The 19,995-nt window shown below is 42.7% G+C and overlaps 1 long non-coding RNA gene across 1 annotated transcript; it reads right to left on the minus strand.

The window, feature by feature from the left end:
• Positions 1-1,078: 1,078 nt before the first annotated feature.
• LOC124901612 (uncharacterized) lies at positions 1,079-11,083 on the minus strand. Its single transcript, XR_007060281.1, has 2 exons — positions 10,834-11,083; positions 1,079-2,459 (listed from the first exon to the last, which is right to left on the minus strand). It is a non-coding gene; the product is annotated as an uncharacterized LOC124901612 (long non-coding RNA).
• Positions 11,084-19,995: the final 8,912 nt, after the last annotated feature.

Here is a 19,995-nt window from a genome sequence, read left to right on the forward strand (position 1 = left end):
TACTTAGCGCAAAATCATCCCTGAGACCAAGTGCTCAGTAAGTCATTGTTGAATGAATGAACAAATAAATAAGCATGTGAGTGACTGAGTGCCTCCTCTACATTGGCATGCCTGTGGCCTTGGTTGTGTTATGTGGAAACCAGCAGATAGAAGCCACTGTTAATGGTTCACGCTGCATCTTGCATTCCATGGATGCCCAATAGCTGCATCCAGTAGCTATTCATTTTCCTGCATTAAGAGTGACCTAGGTTCTGATGGTAGTTCCATTCCTGGCCCCTGGAGAAGTGACATGGGGCCAGATGATCCTTCCTGGCTTCCTCAGTCCCCAGGGCAGGCCCCTGAGAGGATAGGAGGGCAGAGGAAAACACCTCTGGAGTCGGTGCTGGGCCCAGACCCTCCCTCCTGCTCTGGTGGAGCCCAGTTTCCGCTTTGTAGCCTGGCCCCCACTCCTGCTGCAACATCAGTGTAAATATTGTTCTTTCAAACAGTACACTGTGGTGGGACAGGGAAGGAAAAACCATCACCAGGGGATATGTGTGTCTGCTTTGCCTTTTGCAGAAGATAAAATTTAGTCTGGGCAGAGCCAGCTTTGCAGTCTGTTGTACCCTGCTCCAGGGCAGAGTGCTGTGCTGGAGGCTCTTGGGGTGGCCCCTACACCTCCTCACCCCTCTTGCCATATGCACTGGTGGCACCTACTGTGGGTCAGGTCTTCCTTGGGGGCAGGTATATGGTGGGTTCCTGCCACTGAAGAGTTTCAAAAAATTATAGGGGGAAAAGCCATTTGCTCATGGCACACTGCCCAGGTGGGTTAATCCGATCCCTCAGAAAGCGCTCTTCCTGTACAACTTGTAATTAATACAGAGTGCTCACAGCCCCAGGAGGCTATGAGGCCAAACTACTCAGTAGGTTTCAAAAAGCAAGCTGTTGTCCATGCCTAAGAGTAGCAACTTTCTTTAGACAAGTTGGGAGTAAGGCTGCAGGGGCCATCGGTCTATTTGGGGCAGTGAGGACGTGCAAGGGCCTGGAGTAAAATGAAGGCAGTGGCGATGCTAAGTGAGCCATTGTTAGGTGCCTGACCTCCCATGCAAAGCATTTTATTTGCATCTACTTGTGCAGTTCTCATAAGCAGTGGATCCTGTGGTCATTCCCATTTAACAGAGGACTAGAAAGGAGCCCAGAGATATTAAATAACTTGCCCATGGTCACACAGCTAGGATGTGCTGAGCTAAGGTCTACACCAAGGCACAGGGTCTCCAGATCAGCCCTTAATCCCTGGATCTCAGTTCTGGTGCTACCATGGGTTGAATAGTTTTGGCCAGGGGGCACATGTCTTCTCGTCATGACTTTGTACCATGTGTTAGAGAGTCCTGGGCTTGGAAACTACATTTAGTCATTAGTGGTATGACCCTATAGCAAGTAATTTACTCTTTGAGTTAGTGTCCTCATCTGATAAGGCAGATATTAGAATATCTCTCTTGCCTATTTTGGGTAGTTAAATGTAAGCGTGTATTAAAATGCACCATACACGTGAAAGTGGTCTTCAACTGGCAGGTTTTGTTATGAAACCATGATCATCAATAAAATGAGAGCAGGAGAACTACACTGTTCAACCTGGCAGCCACTGGCCACACATGGCTATTAAAGCCCTTGACATATGATTAGTGAGATTGAGGAACTACATTCTGACTTTTATTTCATTAATTTAGATTTAATCAGCCATGTGTGGTTATTTGCTATAATAGTGGACAGTACAGGAGATGGTTTCAGCTGGAGGGGATCTCGGAGACCACTTAGTCCAGTCCCTTGATTTCACAGATAAGACTGAAGTTCTTAGTGGGGCAGCAACTTGCCTAAAGTCGTATGGTAAGTTAGCAGAGAGCAGGTTCAGAACTAGGTCTTCTAACACCCTGATAGTCTCCACTTCAAAAAAATCTGAATATCCCTAATTTCAACCAGGAGATTAGGAAAGAAGATTGATCATCATCAACCTGCAGTTCATTGAAATAAACAGCGAGGGTGGGTGAGGTGGCACAGGCCTGTAGTCCCAGCTACTTGGGAGCCCTGGGGCAGGATAATGGCTTGAGCCCAGGAATACAAGTCCAACCTGGGCAACATAGCAAGTCCCTGTCTCTTAAAATATCAAAAAAAGAAAGAAGCAGCTAGTGAAATACCAAGATGGCCCTGATTTTGAGAGCTTCTTGAAGGCTAGAGAAGGTGCTAAGATGATCAGGCCCACACCTATTCATGGGAAGCTGTGTGTGACTGTCTCTACTGCAAGCCATGCTCAGTTCTTCCTTGATCAAGTCGAGGTCTTCTTAGGGTCAACACGAAGGAAACCCTTTGTCCACTTGCAGCGCATCCTGACAGTGACAGAGACATCTCTGGATAGGTCCCTGTCTCCGAGGAAGGCCTTGCGGGTGGCGGAGGGCTCAGGACTTCAGTGTGCTGTAACAGTAAATCTGTGGAAAGAAAGTAAAGGCCTGTGGTGAGGCTGCAACCTCGGTGCCAAATCACAATGTATAATTGGCCCTGATTTTTTCCATATGTATCAACAAAAACAGCCTTGCTTTCATGGGAGATGAAAGCAACCTCTTTCTTTGGTCCTGTTTCCTTTTTGGGTATAGTTCCCAGGTCTCCACTGGGTTCATCATACTCTCTTTAAAACAAACCGAAAAACAAAAAAATCATAAATTAGGGATACAAAAGGACTTATGGAGAAAATCTCTTTATGTTTTCTATGGCAAACAGATATACTGTTTTGATGTTTTCTTCCTTTTCTTAACAAACATTAAATTAAACTAATTTGTCAGAGTTTTCATAAAATCATACTCTTGGGATAGTGAGAAATAAGTGCTTAATAGCAGCAGATTAATGTATACACGTGAACTCTCTTTCTTAAAGGACTTTCATTCATTCAGCACTCTTGTTGGATTAGTCTGCCTGGATTGCCATAAGAAAATACCACAGGCTGGGTGGCTTAAACAACAGGAATTTATTTTCTCACAGTTCTGGAGGCCGAAAGTTCAAGATCAAGGTGCCAGCAAGTTGGGTTTCTTCTGAGGCCTCTCTCTGGCTCGAGGACAGCCACCTTCTTGCCCCGTCCTCCCATGGACTCCCCTCTGTGTGTGCACATCCCTGGTGTCTCTCCTCTTCCTATAAGGACATCGGTCATATGATACTAGGCCCCACTATTTTGACTTCATTTAACTTAATTACCTCTTTAAAGGCCCTATCTATCTCCAAATATGGTCACATCGAGGGTGAGGGCTTCAACACATGAATTTTGGGGTTGGGGACACAATTCCATCCTTAACACCTTTATGGAGTACTTTTCATGTGATGGTCACTGTAGATACAGAAGAAAATGACAGTAACCTCGCCTTTGGGAAATTGGGAGTCTTACAGACATGAAAAAAATGCCATATGATATGCAATTTATACACATGAGGGCACTGAGGGAGAGAATTGACTTGGTTTTGGGGAATGTGGGAGAAGAATTAAAAGAAGGCTTCAAAGACAAGGAGCTGGGTGAGTTAAGTTTTGAAAGAAAGCCTGGCATAAGTGTGATAGCAGGAAAAAGAATAAAGGAGACATCCTCATCATACACATGAAATAAGCTGAGTCTCTCTCCTGAGTTTTGAAAGATTCTATCTAAAAATACTGACCGACCCTAACTTCAAAAGCCTACAATTAGAGATAATTTTTTTTTACAATTAGAGATGAGTTTTTACCCTTAAGCTATTGTTTCCTTAAAAAATAATAAAGATTTAAAATATTGTATTGTTTGAATTGGTCTTAGTTATAAACATCAGAAACCATGACACAAGCTGGTTTGAACAATGGGAGCTTCAGTTATTTTTGTCCGAGCAGGCGATCGGGGTGGGGTGGGTTCCAGGCAGTTTGATCGCAACTGAGTGATGGCTCAAAGATTCAGGCTCTTTGTGTCTCTCCATTTGCCTTCCTTTCCGCTGGCCTTAGCCAAAGGCAGGATCCTCTCCTGGTTATAATAGCTGCCAGTGGAAATCGGGCTTTATTTGCACCCTGCAGGAGAGAAAGAGAAAACTCTCTGTCTTAATCACTGGTGTACTAGAATTGGCTTGTATGGACTGATGAGATCTGACTGTTAAATTTTCAGGAATTTTGCAAGCTGATTGTTAAACACAGCTGTTATTAAACATTAAATTATATAACTTAACAATGAAATGAGTTACATTAAAATAAAGATAATACTTAATATGTATCATTTGTTAATTATTTTCCTATTATTATGCCTTTGACATGACATGAATATAAAGTCTATCATATTTTTAGGATGGTGACAGTATACAATGGTATGCTGCTGTACGTCTCCCCCAGCTCCACACTCAGTGATATCACATTAGTGGCTTGAAATCAGCCATGATAGTAGTAGTGTTTCTAGCATAGAAATAGGCAACTGCTATAAATCAGATTTTGATTTTATTTTATCATCTGAACTTAAGAAAATGATGGAGAAATGTAAATAATGCAGGTTAAACTTTCAAAGGTTTGGCTCTAAACTGTTACATTGTGAATGGCCCAAAAATTAGAGGAAATAGTCTCCTAGTATTATTTGATTCAGCAAAGTCACTCACATCATTGACAGATGAGTGGAGTTCTGACATATGTCTTCACACACAAACAAAAACAGCCCACATTTGTGTCAGTATTATACTCATTTGTCAGTTGCAGCAATAGGTTGGCTGTAGATACATGAATGCAAAAGTCAATGAAAGTATTCTGTGAAAAATTGATTGGCAGTGTGGTACGATAAAGAGCATTGTATGTTTTATTTTATTTGTATATTGGGTTCTACACATCCACTATGTCAGTAAAAATTTATAATAAATGTATGTATGTATGTATGTAAATATATGGATATAATTTTTTCCTGGACAACCTTTTGTTAAACATTTATTAGCACCACTCCTTCAATCTTTTTGTTTCACTGGGCCAACCTAGTTTATATGTCTATTCCTGTGTCTGGAATTTATTCCTTCCGGTGGGTTCTTGGTCTCGCTGACTTCAAGAATGAAGCAGCAGACCCTTGCGGTGAGTGTTACAGCTCTTAAAGGTGGTGTGTCCAGAGTTTGTTCCTTCAGATGTTCAGATGTGTCTGGAGTTTATTCCTTCTGGTGTGTTCGTGGTGGTGCTGACTTCAGGAGTGAAGCCTCAGACCTTTGCAGTGAGTGTTACAGCTCTTAAAGGTGGCACTTCTGGAGTTGTTTGTTCTTCCTGGTGGGTTCGTGGTCTTGCTGACTGCAGGACTGAAGCCGCAGACTCTCGTGGTGAGTGTTACAGCTCTTAAAGGTGGTGTGGACCCAAAGACTGAGCAGCAGCAAGATTTATTGTGAAGAGCAAAAAAACAAAGCTTCCGCAGTGTGGAAGCAGACCTCAGCGGGTTGCTGCTGCTGGCTCAGGTGGCTAGCTTTTATTCCCTTATTTGTCCCCGCCCACATCCTGCTGATTGGTCCATTTTACAGAGCGCTGAATGGTCCATTTTACAGAGTGCTGATTGGTGCATTTACAATCCTTTAGCTAGACACAGAGTGCTGATTGTTGCATTTTTACAGAGTGCTGATTGGTGCATTTACAATCCTTTAGCTAGACACAGAGTGCTGATTGTTGCGTTTTTACAGAGTGCTGATTGGTGTGTTTACAATCCTTTAGCTAGACACAGAGCACTGATTGTTGCATTTTTACAGAGTGCTGACTGGTGCGTTTACAATCCTTTAGCTAGACAGAGAATGCTGATTGGCGCGTTTATAATCCTCTAGCTAGACAGAAAAGTTCTCCAAGTCCCCACCTGACCCAGAAGCCCAGCTGGCTTCACCTCTCACCCCTAAGCCCGCAGTGCTGTGCACTAGTTATCCTTTGTGGCTGTCAATGGGTGATTTCCTTAACTATAAAGAGGGTTTGTTAGGAAAGAGGAAATAGGAAATTCATTTGAGGTAGGAGACCAAAAGTGTCTGCAACTGCAAAGATTACCCCCGACCCCGCAGCCCAAAAAACACATTAATACAATATCAATCTTTAATATTTTAGTGGAAATTAATGTATGACACCTTTTCCAATAGGATAGGTGGCTCAGAGCAGATTGGATGGAGCTACTGACATTTTAGGCTGAATAATTCTTTGTTGTGGAATTGTTGTCCTGTGTATTGTAGGATGTTTTGCTGTACCTCTACACACATTTGTTGACAACCAAAAATGTCTCCAGACAGTGCCAAATGTCCCCTGGGATGTAAACCACTGGTTTACATCTAGGACTTGGCTCCAAACCTGGAAGTTTTAAATTTCTGTTCCTCTGCCTCTAAAGTAACGCCATCTGCAATTGAATGTTAAATTGGGAAGTCAAAGGCAGCACGGAGGAAGAGGCACATTCTTGAGGGCTGGAACCCTAAGCACCAAAAAGTTGAGTCTGGACAGAAACCTCCTGGGCTTAGGAGGAGGGGATTTGCTGCTTGGGGAGGCCACAGACTCCAGATACTAACCTCTCCTCCAACGTTCAGATTTTATCAGCACGTTTTCCGCCTTTGGAACTCAAAGGATATGAAGCTCTTTTATAAACTTTTATCTTAAGAAGGAATTGGTCCCTTTTAGAAAACTTAAGAAGTTTTTTACACGGAGTTAGAAGGAGCATATCAGTTGGTTTGTCCCTGGGCTCTGGAAGCATCAACCTTTCAGATGATCACGCTGATATATGCGTTAAAAGAGCAAACAAAGGCATCTGAGCAATTTGTAAACCAGGCAGAGTCTGGGAAACGTCCTCATGTCAGAGTCTACTGACAGTTGTGTGAAATCAGCTTTGGCAAAGCTCCCTTCTCTTCAAGAAAGCCCCCTTAGACCTGCTTCCCCTTCTAGCTCCCTGCTGGCCTTATCTTTCTTCAATAGCAAAAGACCTCAAAGGATTCATCTTTATTTGCTGTTATGACTTGCTCTCCTTCTGTTCATTCCTTGGATTCTGTCCCTACATGCCTGCAGTGATGCTCTAATGTGTTGAGTCAACTCATCTCAGTCTTCCTCATTCTTAGGACAGCTTTCCATGCTGGTGGCCATCCTCTTTCTCTTATGTTTGCTGCTTCCTGTTACTTCCATGATGCCGTAGTCTTGTTCCTGCCTGTCTGTTGAGTTCTTCACTGGTTCCCTTTTCTCTGTCAGCTGCTTATGGAGATGTTTCCTCCAGGTTTCTGGCCTGTTCCTGTTTCTCCTCTCCTCTCTCATCATCTCTCAACTCTGGGCATACAGCCCCAAGCCTGCATCTTCGGTTGGGCCCTCTCTTGTTTGCTGTAGTGTTGGACACATTTATCTTCATGTTGGTGTACCACAGGGGCCTAACACAACACTTCTAACATGTAACCTTTTACCTGTTTTCCTAGCCTGTCTTCTCCTTGTTCCCATTTCAGTTAACAGAATTGTTTTCCAGGCTAGAGACCCTAGAGATATCTTGATGTCAACCTTCCTTATAAACCAATCCTATGATGTCATCTGCCTCTGAATCATGTGGGTTTCACTGCCACTGTTTCCCTGATATGTATTCCACCCTTTCTACTCCCATTGCTCCAGTTGAGACTAGAGGTCAGCAAACATTCCTTTTCTTTTTAAAAATTTTTACTTAAAAAAATTTCTTTTTAGAGACAGGGTCTTGCTGTGTTGCCCAGTCTGATCTCAAACTCCTAGCCTCAAGCAATCCTCCTGCCTTGGGCTTCCAAAGAGCTGGGATTACTGATGTGAGCCCACTCTACCCAGCCAACAAACTTTTTCTTGAAAGGGCCAGGGCCAGATAGTAAATATTTTAGGCTTTGTGAGTCACACTCCCTTTGTTGCATCTATTCAACTCCGTCCATAAAGCATGAAAGAAGCCATAGGCAATAGGTAAGTGCATAGGCATGTCTGTGTTCCAATAAACCTTTATTTATAAAAACACTCTTCCAGTCTGATTCAGGGCCATAGTTTGCCACCTCCTCTTTTAGATCATTGTTATCTCTCACCTGGATTTTATCAATCCGGAAGCTGATCTCCCTGCTCTAAACTGTTTTGTTGATCTTACCATCCAAAGTAAATATTTGTTGAGGAATATATCTTCCTAAAATCCAGGCCCAATTAGACACAAGGGACATTGAGACCCTAGAAACTTAGCCTTATTTGAATATGCCACACATTCATGTGCTATAAATCTCCCTTAACTATAGTTTCCAGCCTGTAATGCTCTTCCTAGCCCTTAAATATTTATACATGCTAATCTATAAGACCTAGCCTCTTCTACGAAGCCCTCTATACTCACATTCACAACTCAGAGCTCTTCTTCTCTGAAACTGTCTTGAATAAGAGTATACCTCTCTGACAGTTTTATCTCATAGCAAGTCTGCCTCACAGTGAAGTTACTTCTACCTGTATTTGTCTACCTCTGTCAATCCAAAGCTCTCTAGAGGGTGAAGGTATCTTTCTTAACAATTTTTCTTCTTCTTCAACTATTAATTCCTCAGCTTATTAGTCTGTTCAAGTAGAGAAGCTCCTCTATTAGGTATTCTCTAATTTCAGATATAAAATATACACATTTCCAGCATATAAGATGCAAACAAGCTACAGTCCAGAGCTAAAGTTTTAATAAGTCCTCTTCATTCACCACTGACAAATGGCGTTTGGGATTGATTACTTCAGTCTCAACCATCTCTTGTTTACAAGTAGTCTATAGCATGCTTATTGAGTCTGTAATTCACTTTTAGCCTTTTTTTTTAAATTAAGAAAAAAGCATCAAATCGTCAAAAAAAAAGTAGAAATTGAGAGGATATTGAAAGGCCTGGGAAGATGAAGTCATGATGAAAATAAAACAAAGAAAAACTCATTTAAAAAATGAAAAGAGCAGGAAAATGGAGAGTGTTGTAGATTGAATCTTTGCTGCTAGACATGATTTTAAAGGATGAACTACATCAAGTGTGCCATGTCAATGTGATGCCAGTATAATTAATCACAAGTAATAAAAGGGAGGTATATACTGAGGAAATGAGAAAATATTTTAAGGATTTGTTTAGAAGCAGCACTGTTCAATATAAGAACTACTAACAACATGTAGTTATTTAAATTTAAGTAATGGAAATTAAATAAAATTTAAATTCAATTCCTCAGTCCCACTAGTCACATTTCAAGTGCTCATTAGCTACTTGTAGCTAGTGGCCACCATATTGGATAGTGCAGATATCAAACATTTCCATCATCATGAAAAATTATATTTATTGCAGCACTATTCATAATAGCAAAGAGATGGAATCAACTTAAATGCTCTTCAAAGGTAGACCGGATAAAGAAAATGTGGTACATATACACCATGGAATACTATGTAGCCATAAAGAAGAATGAGAGCATATCCTTTGCAGCAAAATGAATGGAGCTGGAGGCCATTATCCTAAGTAAGCTAACATAGGAACAGAAAATCAAATATGACATGCTCTCATGTAAAAGCGAGAGCTAAACATTTAGTACATACAGACACAAAGAAGGGAACAACAGATGTAAGGGCCTACTTGAGGTCGGAGGGAGGGAGAAGGGTGAGGATCGAAAAAGTATCAGGTATTATGCTTATTAAGAGTTCTATTATTGGCTGGGCCTGGTGGCTCACGCCTGTAATCCCAGCACTTTGGGAGGCAGAGGCGGGCGGATCATGAGGTCAGGATATTGAAACCATCCTGGCTAACACAGTGAAACCCCATCTCTACTAAAAATACAAAAAATTAGCCCAGTGTGGTGGCACGTGCCTGTAATCCCAGCTACTGGGGAGGCTGAAGCAAGAGAATTGCTTGAACCCGGGAGGCGGAGGTTTTGGTGACCCAAGATCGCACCATTGCACTCCAGCTTGGGCAACAGAACGAGACTGTGTCTCAAAAAAAAAAAAAGTTCTATTAAGAGTTCTATTGGATAGAGTGCTGGTCTAGAATTAGCAAAGCCAAGTGCCTTGTAGCCTCAAGTCACCAGAGGCGGTTTGTTAGAGAATGTAGAGGCCAAATATGGCAAATAAGCTGGTGATAAAATTTTGGTCAAAAGCAACAGAGGGCTCCACGGAGTTGAGGCACATCAGAATCTACTCAACATCAGTGGGAGGGAGGAAAAAGTCAGTTCTGAATTGATGACCCAGAGTCAATAGTATGGAGCACATCAAGAGCATCAAGCATTACCACTGTTATTTGCTTTTTTCAATCTAGGTTTTTTTTGAGACGGAGTCTCGCTCTGTTGCCCAGACTGGACTGCAGTGGTACGATCTTGGTTCACTGCAATCTCCGCCTCCCAGGTTCAAGTGATCCTTCTGCCTCAGCCCCACTAGTAGCTGGGATTATAGGCATGAGCCACCATGCCCGACTGATTTTTGTATTTTTAGTAGAGACGGGGTTTGGCCATGTTGGGCAGGCTGGTCTTGAACTCCCGACCTGAGGTGATCCACCCACCTTGGCATCCTAAAGTGCTGGGATTACAGGCATGAGCCACCGTGCCCAGCCCAATGTAGGTTTAAATGTATGTTTTGGGAAGAGATACTAGATCACAGTATTTATCAAACTGTGGGGCAAAATCAATTAGGGGGTCATGAATCATTTAGGACCCAGCAGACATTTTAAAATGAAATAGAACAGACTAGAACATATCAGGCCACGTTTCATGCTGCAAAATCAAATATTGTTGCAGAAACTTCTGCGTCAATGAAATATGTATGTATTTCTTAATGTGGGTCAGTTGCCAAAAGTTTGAAAGCCACTGCTTTTCAGAACATAGATTAGCGAAGAAGAGAAAAGTATGTCTAGTTTTTAAAATGCAAAAAGACAGACTCACCTTGCATCTGGAGAATACAAGCTTGAACCCTTCTCAGTGCCTCAGGCTTAGGAAAAAAAAAACCATCAAACTTAGAAACAGCTTCTCAGAATCTAACCTGTTTGTTCTTTGCTCTTACTTCCTAGAAAGGTCAGTGGATTATCACTGATTCCTGGATTGTCTGCATCCCAGAAGAAACTTTTTTTTTTCTCTGCCATGGGGGATATCTTGCAACTAGAAACTGTCTGTGTTTGCCTGGCAGAAGTGGACTGACCCGGGGAGTCAGGGTTAGCAACTTATAAAGTGGGTGCATGTGAGAGGCAAGACCAGAAAGCCTGTGACGTATTCCCCAGCTGCACAGCCCAAGAGTCACCTTCCTACTTGGCAGAAACAAAAGCTCTATTAAATTTTGAGAGAGAATAATGCTTGTCTTATTCACATATTAATATGATTTATTTAAAAAACCCTGATCCCGTTGCCTCAGAACGACTTATAATGCTCTGTTTATCTCTTGGATCGCTGACAATGAGAGTTCAGATTTCTCCCTCCAGCCTTCTGAATGATCTTTTTTGGAGCTGGTGGGAGCCTCTTGTACTTGCTACCCTATACATTACATAGTAACATGGAAACGTTGATTGCTGACTTAGGCCAACTTAATTAAAAATTAAAAGAACAAACTCTAGCTTAATGAAAATTCCTATGGATGGCCACCCAAATTTGCTGAAACCCTGAAAACTTGATTAGTCCCTTAAAAATAGCATTGATTACTTATAATTGTCATTAGAAGTTCAGTTTCAAAATTCTTTCCTCAGGTTAAAGAAGAAATCAGTTCTGACTGAAATTTATACATCTACTTCTAATTATCAACGTTTCCACAACGTTGCCTGTGGAAATGTTGATAATTTAGAAGAAGCAGATGTATAAATTTTTGCTCTGATGGGGGTAGATGTTAATGGAAATTTTAGAAGTAATTTTCTCAGGGCATTTGAACGGATGAGATATTCCCAAATTATTTGGCCTGAACTTCTTATACTTAGTTTTACAAAGGTAGTGACTAACCAAGTTACACTTCAGAATGTTTCCATGTGTTTTCTCCAAGAGGTACTGTCATTATGACTAGGGCTCAACTGCCAACTACATGCATTAATCCCAAATTACATCAATCTCCAAATTATATTGCCTTAGGAACTTAGACTCCTGGGTCCTGCATTCCCAGGGACAGCTCCACCTGAATCTCCAGGGGCACCTCAAATTCAACCTGTACAAACCTAAGTTCATCATCTTCCTGCCTCAAACCTCTGCATTCTCTAGCGGAATCCCTGCCTGGGGGATGGTGTTCAGCATTTACCTCATTTCTTAAGCTAGCAGCCTTGCGGTGGTCTTGAAGGTTTCCCTTGTCACCAGCTTCCACATTAGAGTTTTATCAGTTCTTCCTCAGATATGCCGCTTACATCTCAGACCCCCTGGCAGTGTCTGGCTCCGGCTTCACTATCTTTACCTCCATGACAGCCGTGGCTTCTTAATGGCCTTTCTCTCTCTTCTAGTTCCTCATCCATGTGTCTTCTGTGTTATCTTCCTGAAAAACAAATAAACATATTCCTGGTGCACCTCTGTGTGACTGTCCCTTGTAGGATAATTTCTGTTATCTCTCTGTTGTCTGTAGGATGAACTGGAACTCCTTGAGAAGACAAATGCCTTTCACAACGGGCCCCTCTTTTCTCTGCTTCTCTCACCTTCGTTGCTTTGGCCACCCTGGGTTTCCTTCCACTGCCTTCAGATAAAAGGTGTTTTTTTCATGTTCCCTGTCTTTGCAGCACTCTTTCTCTTAGAATGCCCATATGCATTTTCAGAAAAACACCTTTTTATCATCTAAGAGTAAACTCAATGCCACTGCCTCTGGGTACCTTTTGTAATGACTCCGTGAAGTTTGTTAGTTTATTGCTCCCTCTTTTTTCCATGTTTCTATTAGAGCACTTTTCACATGGTATCATGATTACCAACTAATGTGTGTGTGGTACTCATTAGGGCTGCTCTTCAAATGTTGATGCATCTTCCCATCTAATTGTAAGGTAGAATTGCTCTTTCTGGGCTTCTTGTGGTTGGATGGGGGCCAATAACCAGTACTGGGCAACAAATTGAGAGCAGAAGAGATGAGTCTCATTTCTAGGATGGCACATTTAATTGCCCGTACAAGAGCCTTGAGAGATCTTTTTTCTTCTAGCATGGTGACTAGCAATGTTAAAGATGGCCCCTGCTCCATCAGCCTAGGCACCTCCCAATCCACAGTGCGTGCATAACATGAGCAAGAACCTTTGCTAATTTAGGCCGAGGAGAAGTTGGTATTGTTTGTTACTGTAGCACACTCTAGCCAGTCTTTCCTGATATATTGTGTGTCACTCCCATGGGATGGGACAGTGGACTCCTCAATGGGCTCAGTGTATTATCTTAGTGTCTGTATTGTCTTGCAAGTGCATGGTAAGGGTTCAGTGACATACTTGTTGAATGAATGCATACAGAAATACGGTATTTATTATTAGAGAGATAAGGAGAAAGCCATTAATGAAATTATTGTGTTTCTATGTCTGTTAAAAATAATGGTCACTTGAGAAACATACTTAAAGAATTCAAAACTGCTGTCTTCGATAACAGTTTTCATTCAGTTTTATGTGCAGTTTTGTATTCTGGTTCTGGACCTTGCATTGCAAGGTGTGGAATATTTGCTAAAGAAATGGCACAAGATTAACATGTTTCATTTGCAAATCTTGGTACGGTTGGCCGACTTTTCCTAATGGACCCTCAGTTCTTTTTAGGTAACAGCTGCGTGCATTGCCTTGATGGGGCAAGCCCCTGGACGAGCCAGAGGTCTGCGGAGACCCAGTACACTGGCTTCAGATGTCTGCCCAGTTATCCCCACAGAAGTTAAGGAACTAGCTGTTTTGAAGCAACTTTAACACAGACTTTTTTTTTCCATCGTGATGGAAAATGACATGGAGCTGTCCTTGGGCCAATTGTGTGTAGCCTTTGTAAGTGACCAACACTTTGCCAAAGTCCCACACACAAACTAGTTATTTGCGTTTGGAGCTGCCTCCTCTGTCTTCCTGGCAGAAGCTCAACATTAGGAAATTGTGACTAATAGCAAGGAGAGAGAACCCTTGAGGCTTATCTAGCCAGGGAGAGTTTCAAGGAGCCAGGAAAAAGTAAAATCTGGCTCAATTAACCAAGATAAGATAGGAACAAGCAAACTGGACAATCCTTTCAAAAGGGACAAACACAGACACAGGGATTTCTGAAAGGAATCATGGGAATTATTAGTGTCTGGTTATTATTTTATTGCATGGAAGCACATGCAACTTGTGCTTCTCCAAACCTGTGATGCAGGCAAGAGATTCTAAAGCCTTTGCAAGCTGTAAACACAACATTTTTTTTTTTTTTGTAAGAAAAGGCAAGAGAAGGAGTGCACTTAACAGAAGAGGACCAGCCTGGTAGCACTTCCCAGAGCTACCACCTGTCTGCTGTGCTTAGGCAAGGCACCTCACCACACTGCATCTTGGTTTCCTCATCTGCAAAATGCTGTGTTATTACAGCAGTGTGTTGTAAAGATTCAATGAGGGAATGCATGTGAAGCTCTTACTGTTCTTATTAAGCACACACTGAACTCTCCAGTAAGTGTTAGCAGTTACACAGTTCTGAGATATGCATTAGGAAGTCCATTATGTAAAAACCCTGCTCTGCTCTTTAAAATGAACAAGAGTGGAGGGGTTTATGGTTTAGGGGTGAGGGGCAGAGACGTGAGGCATAGGAGATGACTGAGCATTTCTTGTGGCAACTTGTGCTTCTGGTTCCTTACAAGTAAACTGTCTTATAAGAGATACTTTTTGGTCCTGTTGTCTCTGCAGAAGGCAGCAGCAGCTCAGAATGGCAAGCTTTCTGCTGATGGTAACAACCTGGTAATCGAACAAAGCCCACAGTCTTTGCTTTGAAAAACCAGAGGCCCAGGAGTAGCTGTTTTCTTTCAGACTGCATTTGAGCTTTGTCAGCTGGCTGGGCTGAAGTTTATCCTGTGTCCACTTCCCTTATCAGCCGCCCATGGCAGGCACACGCTTCTTTGCTCAGTGAATGGCAGGACTTCAGGACTCCCCGTTGACAGAGCTAATCCATCTTTCTGCTGCTTCCATCTTGAAATAACTTTTGGAGCAGCTTGTCAGGAACATGGAAGCAGCCATGACAGCTGGGAAATTTTCTCAGGCAGGGAGTAGCCATTTTCTGTATGGAAACTCCAACGAAGCTATGTCAAGGAGATGGCCCGAAACATCTGGGCTCATTTATGGGGGGAATGGGAGGCATTCTCACAGGACAGCCCGATGTACCCCACTGATAAACCCTCTAACACATTTTCGGGAAAGGAGGCTTCATGGATAGGAGAGCCCCTGACAAAGTCAAGATATCCCTCATCCCTCCCAGCCTACTGGAGCCAGCTATTGTCCACATCACCCACTGTCACCAGAGCAGGGATGCAACTAATTCCTGTTCCTGGAATGGGCTTCTGGCACTGCCCCCACTTCAGGGTCCCCATGGCTCCAACATCTGCAGATGCACTGGCATAGGGTCATTTCCATGTGATCGGTCTTAGGTTTTGGGGACCTGTTGTTTGACAATAGAAAGCAAGAGGGTGGAGACCTGCTTCTCACCATTCGTTCTTCTCCCTCTAGAGCTGGATTTTCCTCCATATTAAAGATCCCAGGTTCATGAGAAACCAAGTCATCTTAAAAGCTGGTTAGAGTGAAATCAACCTTCCTGCTTTTCTCTTCTTCCCTACAAAGTCAGAAGTCAGGTTAGAAACTCCCTTGCAGAAAAGAGTCCATGTAGTTTGGCCAGATGGAATGTTGCGATATGGAAGCTTAGCCTGCTCAAAGTGGGTGTTTAGGAGGTTTTCAAGCTGGGCCCAAAGTCCAACTTGGGTAAGACCACCTGATTACACAACTCCAGTGGGGCGGGGGGTGGGGTTCCTTCCCCATCGTAGACTGTGCGAGTGGCGCCCTCTGGAGTCATGCGGTGCACAACCTGCCCGGCAGGAGGCAGCAGCCTGAACTTGAGGCTCAGTTCCCACAAGACCAGTGATTTTCAGCCTCCTGTGATGCTCCACACACTGGCATGTCAAGACAATAGGAGGTGGTTGCAGGTCACTGGTTACTAGTAATAAATAAAGTACAAACATGTTCAAACACATTCCTTCTTTATTACAAGTTAAGGGAAGCTAAGATCATTGCTAGATCACTCTCACTGTGAGGGAGATATGCTGGCTTTGTTTTTCATATTTAAACATTAGATAACTGAGAAAGAGAGCAAGAGAACAAAGACAAGAGAGAGAGCTAGAGCGAGCGAGAGAGAAGGTGGTGGAGATACAGCTCCAGAATGCGAATTAGGTGTAACTGAGCACTTTATCCTACTGTGCCAGGGATATGAAAGTCATTAGTCAAGTGTGTTGCCATGGAAACAGAGTCAAAGATCACCAGACAAAACTATGAGCTCTTAGGGCAAGAATTATATCTTAGTCATCTTCCTAAAGTTTTTCATGCTGCCTGGCACAGATAAAATGGTCAATCTACATTGAATTTCAATTGTCACTATCAATACTCCTGGCACCACTCTGCCTATGGGGATCTAGTGAGACTTTAGCTTCCATACTTCAAAGGTGGGAAGTCACAGCTTGTGAGGCTGTGAGACATGGGGCTACCCTTGAGCTGACTGTGTGTTGCCTTTGTGAGAACCCATTTCTCACCCCTTGACTCAGATGACATTTCTCTGCTTAGTACATAGTGACCAGCCTTTTAAAAATAATCCTTTAAAAGAAACGTGAAACCCCAGCTGGGCACGGTGGCTCATGCCTGTAATCCCAGCACTTTGGGAGGCCAAAGTGGGTGGATCACCTGAGGTCAGGAGTTCGAGACCAGCTTAGCCAACATGGTGAAACCCTGTCTCTATTAAAGAGACAAAAATTTGCTGGGTGTGGTGGTGCATACCTGTAATCTCAGCTACTCAGGAGGCTGAGGCAGGAGGATTGCTTGAACCCGGGAGGCAGAGGTTGCAGTGAGCCAAGATTGCACCATTGCACTCCAGCCTGGGAGACAAGAGTGAAACTCCATCTCAAAAAAAAAAAAAAAAAAAAAAGAGTGAAACCCTTATTAAATTTGGCAACATTGTTTACCCCCTGCTTTTTCTCATGGCATTATTATTTATCTTTATTTTAAAATGTATTATAAATGTATTTGTCAGCAACATGGTATGTATTTTAAGAGAAGTAAGTGGTATGCTTGGTACAGATCCATTTTTTGAAATGAGAAAATCAAGGCAGTAAATTCATAGTTACATGGAAGGAGGATCTATAAAGGCAGGTTTCTCCTCCTATGCTGTGTTGTGAAACACATCTTGGCTTAAAAATCACAATAAGCTTTGGCAGTTCTAGAGTTCACGAGGTCCTCAGAGATCACCTAAAGCGGCCTTCTCTTCACAGAGGAGGTCATTGGAGGGCAAGTGAACTTGATCCTTGAGGAAAAACATGATCTGCCTTCTGCAGTGTGGGGCATTAGAAACGTGTCTGGATGTGGGGGTTGAGCAGCTTGGCACTCATGCTCACATCTTGGCTCTTCTACTTGCTGTAAGATCCCTGGCAAGTTCCTTAACCCAGTCTCTTCATATCTAAAGTAAGGGTACAGTCTTACTCTGCCTGTGGGGTTGTAATGTGAATTAGCAGAGAGAGCATCTTTTGCTGCACTGGCCATGTAGTAGAGTCACAATTGTCATCATTAAAAAGTGCTTTCTGCTAACTGTCTTCAAGGCTATTCCCTGTCCCTGATTAAATAAATAATCAAATTCTCTGTAAAGACCATCTTTTCTTTTCTTTTCTTTTCTTTTTTTTTTTTTTTTTTTTGAGATGGAGTTTCGCTCTTGTTGCCCAGGCTGGATTGCAGTGGCACAATCTCAGCTCATCACAATCTCCTCCTCCCGGGTTCAAGCGATTCTACTGCCTCAGCCTCCCGAGTAGCTGGGATTACAGGCAGGCGCCACCACACCCAGCTAATTTTGTATTTTTAGTAGAGACAGGGTTTCTCCATGTTGGTCAGGCTGGTCTCGAACTCCCGACCTCAGGTGATCCACCTTCCTCGGCCTCCCAAAGTGCTGGGAGTGCAGAAGTGAGCCACTGCGCCTGGCCAAGACCATCTTTTCTATACAGGCAGCCAATAATTGGCAAAAACTCTTTCCCTACCACTGCTACCTCTGTACTTGGAGACAAGATTTCTGGGCTTAAGGACTGGGTGCATGGCCTTTGTCTCAGTGTTTCTTCAGAACATATCTTGGGGAGTTTTCAGGTCATTTGTAAATGAGGGCAAGGCTCTCTCTCAAATGGGACTTCAGCGTCTGCATAACTCTCTACAGTGCTGTTTGAAGTTGTTGATATTTTGCAAAATGGTGCAGTATATTCTTATTCTTTTTAATACACCTGAACCAAGGCAGATAACTGTAGATTCACATTCTAGTGACGCTCCGCATCTTACCCGAGATCACTCATTGAGTTTGCTGCAAAGCCAGAAACCTATGATGCAAAACACAAGACCACATTCCCTCCCTTCCTACCACATAAACTAAGAAAAGCTCATGAAGCAGATGGCTAAAGACAAATAAATGATTCTCATGCAATTTGAGGCTATGCCACGCAAACAACATGCTCAAGTATGGAAGGCTGTCCTCTTTGGGGCTCTCACTGTATTCTCTTCTCTACAATATCTTAGGCCTAGACTTGAAGTTAGGATTTCAATTTTAAGGTTTATAGTGAAGCATTGATTTGTGTGGTTGCTTAATTGGCCAATGAGTATATAGAAAACTAAGGGATTTAGAACAGCCTTCAAGTTCTTCTCTCTAGCCACCTCTCTTGTTCTGCCTTGTATTACGGCTTATTAGGGGCATGACTGCTGCATTAAAGCTGACCAGGAATAATGCCTTATTCTTCTTTGCAAACTTTTCTCTCTGACTTAGTGCTGAAATCTGAGCATAAACAGTACTCTACTGTTAACTAACGGCATAGCTTTGGAACTCTGATTTTATCCCTGAAAACACATCTCCTGCAGTCTTTCTTGTCTCAAGAAATGGCATCACTATCTACCCAGTTGCCAAAGCCAATGCCTATGTTATACATTAGTCCTCTCTTTTTTGCCCACCACCTCGCCACATCTAATCCATCAGCAAATTGTGTTAGGTCCCCTCAGAGCTGGCATTGGCTGATGTGGTCACACAGATTGTCAACATGGGAAAATTCTCCCAGACAATTTTGTAAGTCATCTCTTCCATGGACCTCCTGAGGGTCTTCATCCTCTCATCTCAGCACCCCAGTCCCTTCCACCAAGCCCCCATCTTCTATCCTCCCTCATGGTCTAACAACCAAATGGTCAATTCCTAGCCCAGGAAGAATCTAACCTTTCTGAGCTCCATTGTTCTCATTCATTGTAGATGGGGACAATAATATCACAGTTAGCTTTACTATGAGGATTAAATAAGAGAATGTATTCAAGGTTGTAAACTCATAAGGCCTGGCCTGCCCAACGTGGACACTCATAAGTAAGCTTACTTCCCTTCTGCTTTGATTAATATGGTGGGAGAAGCATGGCTTTTGGGGAAAGATAGACATGAGTACAAATCCGGGCCTCACCTCCTGACCTGTGTGACCGGGGAAATGAACCAACATATTTGAATCTCTGTTTTCTTGTCTGTAAAATAGGAATAAGGAATATCTAGTGCTGTTCCTGGGCTTAGAGGGTATCTATCTTCATTAAATATTAACTTCCTTTGGCTAACTGAGTTTGCATTAGTGGATGGCTTTGTAATTAAGAAATGTAATGAATGCTTAAAAAGTCTCCAGACTCTCTACTAAAAATACAAAAAAAATTAGCTGGGCGTGGTGACGGGTGCCTGTAGTCCCAGCTACTCGGGAGGCTGAGGCAGGAGAATGGCATGAACCCAGGAGGCGGAGCTTGCAGTGAGCCGAGATCGTGCCACTGCACTCCAGCCTGGGTGACAGAGCAAGACTGCATCTCAAAAAAAAAAAAAAAAAAAAAAAAAAAGTCTCCAGACAACAATGAGATACTACTGTGCACTTTTAAGGATGGCAAAAATACCAAATGCTTGAAACAC

The sequence above is a fragment of the Homo sapiens genome, chromosome 7 (assembly GCF_000001405.40).
Source record: "Homo sapiens chromosome 7, GRCh38.p14 Primary Assembly".
Lineage (NCBI taxonomy): Eukaryota > Metazoa > Chordata > Mammalia > Primates > Hominidae > Homo > Homo sapiens.